At 38.5% G+C, this 14,681-nt stretch overlaps 1 protein-coding gene across 7 annotated transcripts, besides 1 other annotated feature; it reads right to left on the reverse strand.

Moving 5' to 3' along the window:
- Window positions 604-13,762, reverse strand: MMP8 (matrix metallopeptidase 8). Of its 7 annotated transcripts, none has more exons than XM_011542835.3 (12): window positions 13,562-13,762; window positions 12,288-12,354; window positions 11,799-11,886; window positions 11,237-11,481; window positions 10,422-10,570; window positions 10,209-10,334; window positions 7,222-7,383; window positions 5,110-5,227; window positions 4,112-4,245; window positions 3,364-3,517; window positions 2,562-2,665; window positions 604-2,265 (listed from the first exon to the last, which is right to left on the reverse strand). In XM_011542835.3, exons 3-12 carry the CDS (start codon window positions 11,829-11,831, stop codon window positions 2,156-2,158), a joined length of 1,335 nt encoding a protein of 444 aa, XP_011541137.1. In that variant the 5' UTR covers window positions 11,832-11,886; window positions 12,288-12,354; window positions 13,562-13,762; the 3' UTR covers window positions 604-2,155. The 7 variants fall into 7 exon arrangements, with proteins under 7 accessions (XP_011541137.1, XP_047282921.1, NP_001291371.1 ...); XM_047426965.1 differs by having other exon boundaries at window positions 11,799-11,889; NM_001304442.2 differs by lacking the exon at window positions 12,288-12,354.
- Window positions 12,969-14,168: an enhancer, noted in NCBI's record as "BRD4-independent group 4 enhancer chr11:102594892-102596091 (GRCh37/hg19 assembly coordinates)". NCBI's record gives its function as "activates an origin of replication core promoter dependent on BRD2, P300/CBP, MED14 and CDK7 cofactors, and independent of BRD4, by STARR-seq in HCT116 cells {active_cell/tissue: HCT116}" and the evidence as "EXISTENCE:reporter gene assay evidence [ECO:0000049][PMID:35650434]".

Raw genomic sequence — 14,681 nt, forward strand, 5'->3', positions numbered from 1 at the left:
CTCAAAGATGTATAGATGAGGTTTGAGCCAAGAGTCTATCATAGCCAGCACAACTAGCAGGTGTTCTGAGAAGATAAGACACTCATTTTCATGCCTGCATTTTCCTAAAACTTTCATAACTGGCATTATAGAAAGTTTTAGGAAACATGATAGTCTGAAATTGATGCTACTATTAAAAATGGAATATTCAATTCTTATAGATCCTTTTGCATTTGTTACGTTGATATGATGAATCGCTTATACATCTCTCTCACTTTTCTTAGCACAGTCCCTGAAACATAATTAATAGTAGGTAGGTAGTTAATTCTTGCTGAATAAATCAATGAATGGAATGATAATATATACTTGTTTCAGTTTTCTTATTTTGTAAAATAATTTGAGAATAATGTATTAACATACTTGAGGAAATTTTTGAGGACCTCAAATATTTATAAAATATTTCACACACTCTGAAGCAATATCTAAAGTTTATTATCAATATTATAATAATTCTGACACAAGCATTATATATCTGCACAACATCTAAAATTTGCTATTCCTTTTTATACTTTAGATGAATTATGTGGTAACATTTTAAGAAATTAAAAGCAAATCACAAATCAGTCATTTGAAGTAAAAATCTTTAATTTGAACTTATTTAATAGATTATTTTAATTTTTGAACAAGCATAAAGGTGCCAATTTAATTATCTGTGGGATTTAAAAACTTCAACAGAGAAAGAAAATAGGAGGTACTAGTGAGAAATATATTTTACAGTCTACATATTTATTGTATAATAAGCTATATTATATTCTAATAACAGCAAATATAACATTATAATGATTTTGATATCTGGACTCGCTAGACTTGGTCCCATAAATCCTATAGTTCTTAACAAAAAAACCCATCCGTTAGCAAACTTACACATCTAAGCTCAGTTTAATGCAACTTAATGAGACATTGAATTTTATGCAGCTAACCCAAGTTATCTATAGTGTGTGCCCTCCTGAGTACCCCAGGAAATAGAAGTAAAGAACTGACGAACATCAGATCCAACTGGCCCATTTGGGTTTGGACTCTAGGAGAGAGCAAGGAGGAGGCAGGAGAGGAAGTGGTGGTTCTCTTTTGGCTGCTGTCCTGGGAAGATGCCCAGTAGTCCTTAGCAAGGGTTCTACTTCTGCATTCTGTGTTGATTCATTTTCATATGTGTAGATGTACTGTGTCTAGTACCTCATGTCTAGGGTTGCTGTAACAAAGTATTGCAAAGTTGGTGGCTTAAAACAAAGGAAATTTATTCCCTCACGGTTTTGGAGGATAGAAGTCCGAATTCTGCAGGTGTCAGCAGGGTCACACTTGAAGGCTATTGGAGGGAATCCTTCCTTGCCTCTTCAAAGCTTCTACTGGTGGCTTACAGTCCTTGGAATTCCTTGGCTTGGAGATGCGTCACTCCAATCTCTGCCTCTGTCTTCATACGGCCTCCTCCCCTAGGTGACTATGCCTCTCTTCTTCTTATAAGAACAACAGTCATAATGGATTTAGAGCCCACCCTAATTCAGTGTGATCTCACCTTAACTTAACTAATTACATCTGCAAAGACCCTGGTAAGCTCACATTCATGGGTACCTGGGGTTAGAACTTCAACATATCTTTTATGGGGGACACAATTCAACCCACGAAACATATCATCTACATTTCTTTCCAAGGGTAGAAAACAGCACCATATTTTCTGTAAAGGCCAAGGGTACTGTCTAGGTTGTTTATAATCCTTACTTCTAACCAAAATCTAGTTCTAAATTGCATGTAGAAGATATACATAGGACATTTTAAGAAACTGAGGGATGTATGAAGTCAGATAGGCAAGTAATATAACAATAAATCCTAGAAGTCAGATATGTAAGTATTGAAATAGTAAATATTGAGGTGACAAAAAGGCTTACTTTCCTTCTCTTTGATGGAATCACTAATGTAAGATGGAATGTGTAAGAACTGAATAAGCCTCTGCAAATAGTGGAATATTCCAAACATATTTTCACGGAGGACAGGTAGAATGGATACAGTGATGGGAAACAATGACTTAATATTGAGAAAAGTATAAGCAGGACACAATGTAACGAAAATGCTTGCTGAACTTCCCTTCAACATTCTGAAAGTGGATACAGCCACATTTGATTTTGCTTCAGCCATATCTACAGTTAAGCCATTTATTGCCTCTTGCAACTCTGGTAACTCTCTGAGCAATAAGATCAAATGCGTAATATCTTGGTCCACTGAAGACATGGAAGAAATCTATAAAAAAAGAGAGATAATTTATTGAATTAGCTTATAGAATATCTCAGATGTCTTCAGTTAGAAAACCCTGCCCCTGTTCCAACATAACATTCAAATGCAAACATGCTATTTAAAAAATTTAAACACCAGGTGCGGTGGCTAATGCCTGTAATCCCAGAACTCTGGGAGGCTGAGGTGGGAGGATTGCTTGAGGCCAGGAGTTTGACACTAACCTGGTCAGCATAGTAAGACCCTGTCTCCTCTATAATAAACAAACAAACAACACATTTATTAGGTTTTTTTTTCCTACTTACGTTCTTGCTGGAAAACTGCATCAACTTTACTCTCTATTCCTGGAAAGGCACCTGATATGCTTTTGGGATAACCTGGCTCCATGAATTGTCTTTGGTTATCATATCTGGTAAAAACAAAATGTTATCCGATTTAACACCAATACAGAATATAACGAAAAAAATTTTTTTTATTGTATATAATTTACAAAGTCTCCTCACACATATTTTTTCATTCAGTTCTCACAATGCCCTGTTTACTAGGATTAAGAATGGTTAATTTCTCTACCTAAGGGTACACATTTATAAAACATATGGTTATCATTAATTCTAAAACAGGCTTGATGGCTGACACACTGTTATTACCCAAAGTAAGCTTATATTTTCAAGGCTTTTACTTAATTGGTATATAGTATAACTCCCTTGTGTGTGTATATAGATATATAAACATACATAATAGGTTCAACTTGGGAACCAAATTCTGCAGGCTATCTGGATAACATTTGCTTGCATATGTCTGAGTTGAACTCATAAGTGAGAATTAGCTTAAATCTTTCTTTGTATCTCACCCTAGTGCTTTGTTAAGGTTTTCTTTGTTTCTTGATGCAGAATCCTCAATACTATTGCATAGACATTTTAATTTTATAGAAATGAAAAATTTCAAAAGCCATGGTAACATCAATCATCCTGTAAAAAAGAATATATTCTCGGTAAAACCTATTAGAGACTATCTAGATTGTTTTAAACCTTGAAATGCTTGAAGGTTTGTAAGCAGGGTAGAGAAACACAGATTTCAACCTATAATTGAAAAAATAGTTTACGTTACCTCCAGAATTGGTCATTTACAAAGAAGTATGTTTTACTTCTGTAGAAAACAGCTGCGTCAATTGCTTGGACGCTGCTGGGGAAGCCATAGTTTGATATATCCTTGGGATAACCTTGCAGAATATCATAGCCACTCAGAGCCCAGTATTGGTTGCCTGTCAATGATTCAGGTTAAGTGTTAAATACGACTTTTCCATTTTTACAAAATTATATATATATATATATATATATATATATATATATATATATATACCACTTCTTGGTCTTGCACATAGATATGAAAATGGAACAAATAGTCTTTAAAAGATGAAGATGATAAAGTTAAGTTCAGGGGGGCTGTGAGAGCCTTAATGGTTCCCCAGAGCCTATAAAAAATAAAAACTTCTGAGCAAGACATTCAAGGCCCCACAATTGGATGCCTTAGTTTGTGTGACTTTTATGCAGAAACCAAATTACAGCTTGAGGAGTCTTAGAGAATTGTATCTGGGATGAGGATGAAAGAATGCTAACGACAGTCTAGTGTGGTCTCATTTTGTTGGTGAGAAAACTGAGGGCTGAAAAGCAAATAACCCACTCAGGTTCACACAGTAGTTAGTGGTCCTGATGGGGCCCAACCCTAGTCTTCTGGCAAAAGCCTGGCCAGCTTAATGCTGTCATTAGCTCACCATGAACCTGAAAGGGACCACAAAGAAGTCCTGCCCCCTCCCTTCAGGCAGAACTAACATAAGATGAAAACTTTAGGAAGTTACCTTTAAATAGGAAAATGAGGTCTCTGTCAAAATCTTCATAAGCAGCCTGTATACCAGTTGGAAGGGATGGCCAGAATAGAGAAATAAAATTCATTTCGACTCTTTGTAGCTGAGGATGCCTTCTCCAGAAGTACCTAACGGAACATAAGGAAACACACACACACACTTATACATAACAGTCTAAGTAGGCAGTTCCTGTGACTTTTAGGCTAGTGATGGTCCTTGTAGGATTGCTGGGAGAATATAACAATCGAACGAATGCAAAGTTCCTAGCACAGTGACCAGCATATGGCGAAGCTTTATAGTGATATTGTCCATCTGGCAAGTACTTCACAGCTTTCAGGGAAGGTTATGGGAGTGATCTTATTTGATTACATTTGGCATTGTCCTGCCTTGGACATTGAAAAATCTTACTTTGTAGCATCTTTCATTATTGCTCCCAGTAAATGCTGTGAACATATTGATAAAAGCAACAGCATGTACCCTCAGCCTGTGATTGCACACTCACAAAATAGCCAATGGACAAATAAAAATTTCGCTCAGTTTGATGATTTGCTGCACAGCTAGCTAAGCGCAGGTTCCATTTACTTGACTGATTTTGGATGGAACTGGATGGTGCTTTGGTGTTTCAGCTATGGGGTTCCCAAGCAGCTGTAGCCCATGTCTGTTTACATCACCAAAGGCATCTGAATGTTTGTGAATGTTTTCATGTTTTTTTTTTCTCCTGGATGTCTTGAGTTACCCAGAAAATACTCAATTGCATAAATTCAGTATAGACACAAAAATGGTACAAATAGTCTTTAAAAGACGAAGATGATAAAGTTAAGCTCAGGGGGCTATGATAATCCTAGTGGTGCCCCAGAACCTATAAAAAATTCCGATGAGAAGCACAAGTATAGAATTCAAGGAAAAGGTGACTAACGTGTGACTTAATTTGAATCCAGTTTTAAGGTATGTCAGTAAGAGGAATCAAAGGAAGAAATATTTCAATTTTATACCTGTCTTTAAAGAAAAGTATTTCTCCACGGAGTGTGGTGATAGCATCAAATGTCAAACTGGGGTCACAGGGTTTGGGTGTGCTTGGTCCAGTAGGTTGGATAGGGTTGCTTGAAAGTCCTGGAAAAAAAAAAAAAAAAAAAAAAAAGGTCTTTCTTATGAGAGTAAGTCCGGTGTGACTCTTGGGTACATCAGAGACTTCTCAGAAAGGTGAAGGGTCTTCATGTGAAGGTAAGTGCTACCAGACTATACCATAAAGTATTAAAGTAATTGTATATTTCATCCTTTTAAAGTTTTTGTTTCTTTAATAAGAGTAATGATGGTTTTCAGGGTAAGTTCCAGGTCAAGCTGTGAAGTAAAGAAATTTGAATTCTATGCTCCTTCCTTCCCTTTTAAATTCTAAACTAATTCTTCTCTGACTTTTCAGTTCCTCTTTCTGCTTTTTTGGTCACTCAGTATCTATTGCCTCTCTCCTCACCAAAATCCACTTTCAGGAAAGAATGATATTAGTCTTTTACGCTATAGCATACACCTAAGTCAAATTTTAGCAATATTTTTTCTATAAGTATTTGAATTTTCATGTGTTTTCTCACTGTGGAATGAAAGGCTATAATAATAGTTAAGATAAAAACATTGGTGAACAAAATAAAGGGGTGTTGTTGGGGTGGGCAGGAGGAAGAAATTGGGGAATAGAGGCAGTTAGGATAGGCTCAACATTTCTGAAATATCTGCAATCACAAAAAAGTTCCCTGGTTGTGGCACCCTGGCATGCTTGCTTGATTTTATAGTGCTGTCCCACCAGAGACAGAAAAGGGCTTTCCCCAATTCCACTCCACTCTGTTCCACTCCATTCAATTATATTTCACTCCAATCCACTATTCCATTCCATTCCACACTTTTTTAGAGAGCAGTAAATCCCTTATTGGTTTCTTGTTTTTATTCACAGCCAACTAGGGAACAGAAGGGCAAGCGTGAAGAGAGATGTAATGGTCTTATCCAGGCAATATGGCAAAAGGCCCCTATACTTATCCTTGAAATGTATCAGTGATGCCTTAAAAAAGTTTCTTTTTTTCTCTCCATACTCCACTACCATTCCCTTTCTTCTTCTTGAAAAATGCCTTGCTTTGTTTATATACATTTTAAATTTACATAGACTTATATATTGTGTAATTTAATTAATACATTGTGCAATATATCTCATTCTGTTTCTTTTTCACAAAGTACCAAGTTTTAAAGACCCATCTGTACTGTTGCCATATGTGCATCTAGTACCATGTTTCTCACTGCTGCACATCACTTCATGGTGTGCAGCTACCACATTTTATCTGTATAGTCTTCTCCTAATAGACTCCCAGGTGTCTTCCAACTTCCATTACCACAAACAAGACTGCAGTGAACATCTTTGGCATGATTTGTACATGTCCCCTTATGGATCTACATGAGAATTTCTTTGATAGATACATCTGGGAGCAGGATTGCTGTAGGAAAAAGAATAGTCATGTCTTTTTAGAATATTTAAAATTGGGGCCAGGTGCAATGGCTCACGCCTGTAATCCCAGCATTTTGGGAGGCTGAGGTGGGCAGATCACTCGAGGTCAGGAGTTCAAGACCAGCCTGGTCATTGTGGTGAAATCACCTCTCTACTGAAAATACAAAAATTAGCCAAGTGTGGTGGTGGGCATCTGTAATCTCAGCTACTTGAGAGGCTGAGGCAGGAGAATTGCTTGAACTTGGGAGGCAGAGGTTGCAGTGAGCCAAGATCGCGTCACTGCACTCCAGCCTGGGCAACAGAGTGAGACTCCATCCCCCCCCCCAAAAAAAATTTAAAATTGGAAATTTGGAAAGCCTAAAAAAGAAGAAAAAAATCCCCACCATCCAAAGACAATAACTGGGAAGCACTGTAGTGCATTTCTTCTTAAACTTTTTTTCTTTTAGGGCAGCAATAGAGGCTCAGTCCCTCACACCTTCTTTGTTAATGCTTTATTACTGGGGAAATTCAGAGTTCAGTTTTATGGAAACTGCAGAAGTGCAAAGGAAGAGATATTCAGATTCTGGGAGTGTTCGCCTATTCCCAGGTCCTACCATGTACTATGACTCTCTTGAGAAGACCTTACCATAGATGGCCTGAATGCCATCGATGTCATCTTGAGGGAGTGAGTAGTTGCTGGTTTCCCTGAAAGCATAGTTGGGATACATCAAGGCACCAGGGTCAGAGGAGTGAGCGAGCCCCAAAGAATGGCCAAATTCATGAGCAGCAACAAGAAACAAGTTGTAATCTGAAATGCAAACACGGGTGGTAAACAGCTCAGTGTGGATCCCAGGGTGGCAGAAACATGATCTCAAGGAATGCAACCTCCAAGTCAAAACTGCTCAGGGAAATAGCCCTTCCCATGGCTGTCTTTTTCATCTTTCTTTCAGATACCTGAGAAAGTGGACATTGAGAAGAATCAAGATAGTGGTCATAGATGGCGACTAGGTGAGTATGAACTTCTTATAAACTCTTAGAACCCAGAAAAGCTGCATTTATTCCAATTCTCACATTTTACAAATGTGCATCTGAGACTTGGAGAAGTAATGGCAGAGCCGTCATGACTTTGGGAACCCCTCTTCTCTTGCATTCCCACAATCACCATCTCCACTGTCCCAGACACTCAGCCTCACGAGTAGAGTCCCTGTGAGCAAGTAGTTAGAAGAGAAGCCAGCCCAGCAGTGGAGCAGCCTCAGATGGAGGGCTGGCTCATGTTGGCTCCCTCATCACCCACAGCTTAGCACCAGCTCTTCTCTGTTTCTGAGCTTTCTAAGATGCTCTAGGAATTCTCTACTGGAGAGAGACAAATCCTACCCTTATTGCTCTCTTTCTCCATGTTTTAACTTCCATGAGCATAGTGCCGTTCACAACTGGAGACTTAAAACCTTCCCAGGATCTCACTTCCTATCAAATAAAGCCCAACCTCTTTTGCCTGGCCTTCAAGACCTCCTCCACTTGGCTCCAGCAGATATTTGAGTGCTTGCCTTTTAACATGAATCCTTCAGTCCAGCCAGTCTACATGCTGCCTCACAAACACACTGATGCATTTTTGTATATGCCTACTTTTAAAAAAAGCCATAATTGTAGAGTACCTACAACATACTAGGCAATCTAATGTTATGCAATCCTCATAACATTTTTCTGAAGTTTTATTAACAATATTTTTATAGTAAAGTGACTGATGCCCATAGATTTTGAATAGCTGGTACTTGGTCCCTCAACTAGTAAGTGACAGATTGGGGTCAAACCCAGGTATAATGGCAAGATCCATGCTCTTACTGCAATGTTCAACTTCCTGTTGATAATTAGCCTGCTAAAATTCTACCCATGCTCTAAGAATTGTTTCTTATCATCACATCCTTTTAATTATGCATTCATGAGTGCATTTCAGAAAAATATCTTTGAATGCTTGGAATACCGTGAAAGGAACTGTGGGCAATTTGTTGTGGTTCTCTGCTCTACAGGGAGTGCATAGTCTAGAAGAGGAGAGATGTGTGCAAACAACTTGAAAGCACACAGTGAGTGATGACAGAGAAGGAGATACAAAAGCTGTCAGAATTCTGCAGAGGAAGTTCTCATTTCCAGGACAAGGCAAGACAGAAGGTGGCCTTTGACATACATAGCATGGCAAGATGAGAGAGATTTTAAAAGGTGGTGCGTGGGGCATGGGAAGAGTATTTCAGGGAGAGGAAGCAATTCAAGCAAATGTGAGGAAGATGAAAAGCATAGGGTGTGACCTAGAAACAGTGAATGTACAATGTGGGTGTTAGCCCGATGTGAATGGAATACGTGAAATAAGAAGACAAGCCAAGAAAGACAAGGATGAACAAGCACCAAGAGCCTTCAATACCAAGTGGAAGTATTTGGACCTTATTTGGTGCAGAATGTGTAAACATTGAAACTTTTAAGCATGAGAGTGATGTGATCCAAGATGGGCTTCCAAAAACAAACCCTGCTGCAATGGTAGGAAAAATTAGAGGGAGCACATACTGGAGATGGAGAGTCCAGTTAGGAATCTAGATCATTCGTTCAGGTAAGAGGTAATGATCATCCGAACTAGTGAGGAGGGCAACAGGGAATGGAGAGGAGCTGAGGGTTATTACCTATCTTTGGCTACACACAGCTCCTAGCATATGGACTTAGGTAGAATAGACCCTCGTAACATACCCATGTTGAGAAAATGGCAGGAGGAACAGGTGCCAAGCAAAGGTAAAAGGTGCCTTTCTGATTATTTTCTAAAAGTGCTCTCTGGCATATTGTTACCCCATATTTTGTGAAGTACCACATGGTCTGGGTATACCTGTCCTCAGCCTCATTTCTTCCCTTCAAGCAGCCCAGTCCTTCTTAATAGGAGCCTTCTCCTGAAAGGAGTGGCTTGCTGTACAGAAGCATACCACTGAAGAAGAGCTCCAAGGAGATGAACTAACTAGATGAGAGGGAAGGTGTCTGTTCTTTTCTCAATAGACTAATTTCTAATTATAGAAATTATAATTTCTAAATGAATTTCCAAAAAATGGAAAAATAGGCTAATTTCTAATTATAGAAATTATAATTTCTAAATGAATTTCCAAAAATGGAAAAATAGGCTCTTTTCAAACATCACTAAATTTGGGAATATTAAAATAAAGATATTCTAAAGCAGTATCTGTAAAGAACCAGATAGCAAATATTTTAGGCTTTGTAAGCCAAATGATCCATGTTGCAATTACTCAGCTTGCCATTGTAGAGTGAAAGCAGCCATTTATGATATAGAAACAAATAAATGTGGCCCTGTTTCAATAAAACTTTATTTATACAGACAGGGGTCAGGCAGGATTTGGCCGTAGTCTGTATTTTCTGATCTCTGACCTAAGAAGTAAGGTCAGTAATCAGATTCAGCATGTCTTTTTCTTTCTTTTTTTAAAAAAATCCCAAATTGACTTAGTATCATGAGGTAGCAAAAATTTCAAATGATCACTTTTTGTGAGTTTGAAATATTATGTTACCTTTATTGTGTGTGTGTGTGTGTGTGTATTCTAATCTGTAAAAGGTTAATTCAGAAGCTGTGTGTGGACATAATCTTGATTAACTTACTTGCGGAGGTGTTGGTCCATGTTTCTTCGGCATCAAAATGAGCATCTCCTCCAATACCTTGGCCTGGCTGAAAGGCATGAGCAAGGATTCCATTGGGTCCATCAAATGGAGAATTGTCACCGTGATCTGAAATAAGAACATTTGTATTAGATCCTTGCCAAGTTTCAGGTTAGCCAAAGAAAGCAAAACTGAGCATGACTGCTTTGTACCTACCTCTTTGGTAAAAAGCAATGTTGATATCTGCCTCTCCCTGTGAGATCCTGGTGAAGATGAGAGGTGATGCAACACTCCAGAGTTCAAAGGCATCCTTGATAGCTCTTTCTACCTCAGCCTCTGACAGCTGTGGGGTATAGTTTCGAATCCTTCAAAATGAGAGGATGTATGAAGAGTTAAATGTTATTTAGAACAGTAGTCCATCAACTGATGAGTTGTTCTGTTTTGAAGTGAGTTGCATCATGGTGTGCTACCACTGGAGAGGATAAGGAGGGAGTGCAGGTCTCAGGGTGGAGGACAGATGTGGGTTCTGAACAAGTTAATACATGTCTTTAAACCTCAGTTTCCTATTCATAAAATGAGGATACTAATATAGTATCCCTCTCATAGGGCTGCCGTGGGGATTAAATACATATAAAGCATTTAGTTCATTACTTGTCAAATAGTAATAATATTCCACAAATATTAGATATTATTATTATTATTAAGATGTATGAAAGGAGGGACTTGACTCTCTCCAGCAATGATTAAGCCTTTGTTGGGTCCTAAAGTAAGTGCTTAGAGAGACAGCCTAACATTGCTGGTAGTCCTCTTTAGATTGTTGGAGAAGGAAGACTAAAACGGGAAGCCTTGGAGTGGAAAGAACCCACGGTATCTCAACATTTTCATTCTCATATTCATTCACTACTCACACTCTTCAAAGGCAGGGATATTTATCTACTTGTTCCTAGTGTATCCCAAGAACAGTGTCTGTCATATAAGAGCCCAGTCCATACTGGATAAATGAGTGTATCCTGAAACCCTAGAGATATCACCTGTAGGTCAAGTTAGTGCGTTCCCACTTGGGGTTTCCTGGGGTTAACATAAAACCACCACTGTCAGGCACTCCACAGCGAGGCTTTTTCATCATGTCCAGAGTTTCCTCATTTGGCTTCCCCGTCACATTCAACCCAAAAAATCGCTGCATTTCTTTAAGCTTTTCAACGATCACATTAGTGCCATTCTTCCTTGTAGACTGATACTGGTTGCTTGGTAATTGGTAGAACTTTTCCAGGTAGTCCTGGACAAAGACAAGCACATAGGGGTCTTGCTGTGAAAGGACCTCCAGTTCTCTGGTCATTTTGCAACCCTTTCTAAGTTACTACAGAGGTCTGATAACTTGACAGCCACAGGAACAATAACACAAATTAATTTGTAGGTTGGCTTTGAGAGAACAACTCTTTTTAGAAAGAACAGTTCCTCCACTCAGTGCTCCAGTTAATGGTTATGCATAAAAAAGGGTGTCTCATAAGGGATGAGGATCACATCACACAGGCAAAGTGCTACTCTACAGTCAGGAGACTGTCTTCTTGTTTTTACAAAAAAATTAGGACTAACATTAATTGACTTCTCTTGAGGTATTTGTTGCATCAGTGCAGTTCCTCTTTTTTATCCTCTTCACTACTGTAGAAAAGGCTTATTTATTCTGCTGAACAAACAGAAGCACAGAGAATTAAGGAATTTTCCAAGTGATGATTCAGATTTTAACTCACCATGTTGCCTCTCAAATGAGAACTGATAATTTCAAAATAATTTCAAATATCTTTTAGGGGAACAGCAATATCATTGATATTAGCATTTTATTCACCAAAGTAACTCTTTGGAAGTGTTAAATTTAGTCAAAATCCAAAGAGTTTAGCCTAAAAATTACCTATTTTAAGTTTGGCTTAAAAGTTTCTTCATACACAGTGAAATGTAACCTAACTAGACCTCATGCTGCCTGTGAACACCTGGCACCTTGTCAGTGTCTTAGTCCATTTTCTGTTGCTATAACAGAATATCTGAAGCTGGGTAACTTATACATAAAAGGGGCTGATTTTCTCTCACAATTCTGGAGGCTGGGAAGTCCAAGATCAGGTGGCTGCATCTGGTTGGCTTCTGAGATGGCCTTGTGCTGTGTCATAACATGGCAGAGAAACAAAAGGGGAGCAAGCATGTGTGAAAAGGGGCAAAACACAAAGGGCAGCCCCTCTTTATAATACCCATTCTATTAATTACTAATCCAGTTCTGCAAGAGCCAGAACCCACTCCAGCAAAAATTAATCCAGTCACACAAGAGTGTCATTAATCTTTCTTAATGACCTAAGTACTTCTTAAAGGACCCACTGTCACATGGGCTACTAAATCTTTAACACATAAATTCAAGGGACACACTCTAACCACAGCAGTAGGTGACACTGACCAGATCACACGCTTTGGAATCAGACAGGCCTGGGTTCAAATCTTAACTCTGCCATGAATTAACTGTGAGCACTTGGCCACATTATTTATCTGATTTAAGATATTTTTGTCTCTGAAATGAAAATAATAATGCTCCAATAAGGTTCTTGTGAGGATTAAATGAGATATTTGTGAAATGTGTAGCAGTTGCCTTGCATAGAATAAGCACTCAATGGACTTTACATTAACCCGGGGGTTACAATTAAGAGATAACCTCTTAATAATAATAATGCTTTCTCCAAACTATAATGCTAAGAAAACTGTGCATGAGAGATTTGTGACAGAATTCCCTTGTGTTTCTTAAAAATTTGGGTTCACTTTCAGACTGTGAAACAATGGAAAAAAACTATTGGTTCTGCTTTTATAATGCTTCCAAGAGTTTATAAACAGTCCACAATCTGATGCTGGGAAATATGATTTTACTGTGTACTGATTTCTAGTTCATTGTAATCTACCATCCTCACATTATTTTCTATATCTGGAATTTTTGGCGGCAAAGAAAATGCCTGTATGGAAGCACCAGACATATAGTAACTTGATTGCAGATATCCTGGAAGGAAAAACCTTAGGTAAATGAGAAAGAAAATGATACCATTTTATAAATAAAACCATTTCTTCTACAAAAGTTTCCCAACTAGGGGTAACTCTACAGCAGTATTTTCCCAGCCTTTAAAGAATTCAGCTTGTTTTCATGTCCGGCTTTTAAAAGGCCTAGTCCTTACCAGCTTGGAACCCTCCAAATCACTAAAAGGAGATGTTCAATCTCAAACTAATCACCCAAATAATTTCTTTCAGGCTGTTTTAATTAACAAGAGAAAACAACCCACACTATTTCCTAATAATCAGCAAATCAAACATCACCTAACTGATAGTTCATTTACCTGAACAGTTTTTGTATTTTTCTCTTTAGAAGATACAGGAAAGGCCTTGGAAATCTGCACATGGAGTAAGAGCAGAAATGGAAGCGTCTTCAGGGAGAACATGATCTTCTCTTCAAACTCTACCCCTCCTGGCTTTCTTTCTGTCCCTCTGGGTAGGGCCCTTCCCTGGCGAGCACCCTGACGTTCACAGCATCATGTGTCACTCACAGCTCTCTTGCAGTCCTCTTTAAAGCCATGTCTTAAACAATTGCTGCATCAGGAATATGAAGCAACATAGGTTAATTACACTCTGACAGTTTTGCAATTTTATAATGTGATTTAGTACCCCCAAATGGGGGAGTCTTTCAACAGTCTTTCAAAACTCCAACTTTCTACTCTTTGCTTTTGGATGTTTTAGTTATTTCCTTTTACAAAATTGGTTGAGGAAAAGGAACAAGGGACTAATCCTGAAGTTATGTGGATACATTTTTTGACTATGTAAGATGTTGAGGTTGAATTAACTTATGCAGGGGAATATTTTGAGGTTTGTGGTAGATATCTTGGGACCAAGGAGCCCAACTAGAGAATCTCTGTACTTACCCTCCCTCATTGTATGTGGAGAGAATGAGTGACTGTGTTATTACAAAGCAGGCTTTGTATGGGGCCTAGAGCTGCTTCTGGAGGATGTGGTTTGGTATCAACATATTAGAAAATCCCTAGTCTATAAGTTAGACTTTCCATGGAAAAGATAAAGAGAACAATACTGATGATGATAATAATGAACATTTGCTAAAAAATTATGATTGCCCAGACATTTGTACTGTGTTCCACATATTACCCCAATCCATCTTCACATAGCCTTGGGAGGGAGATGCTATTACTATCTCCATTTTACAGATGAAATCAAATCCAGAGACATTTAGATGACCTGTTTAAGTCACATGTTTCATTTGTGGAGGGGCCAGGATTCAACCCCAGAGGGTATGTTTAGAGAGACTGAGCTGGGAGCTACTATAAGCTCTGCATGGTAGTCTCCCACTTGAGTCTCTGGCTGGGCCATAGTGGAGCAGCAGCTCTAGGCCTTCAACAGCTGGATACTTTGGCTTATATTCACAGGCAGAAGACAAGGGAGAGGGAGAAT

The sequence above is a fragment of the Homo sapiens genome, chromosome 11, assembly GCF_000001405.40.
Source record: "Homo sapiens chromosome 11, GRCh38.p14 Primary Assembly".
Classification (NCBI taxonomy): Eukaryota; Metazoa; Chordata; class Mammalia; order Primates; family Hominidae; genus Homo; species Homo sapiens.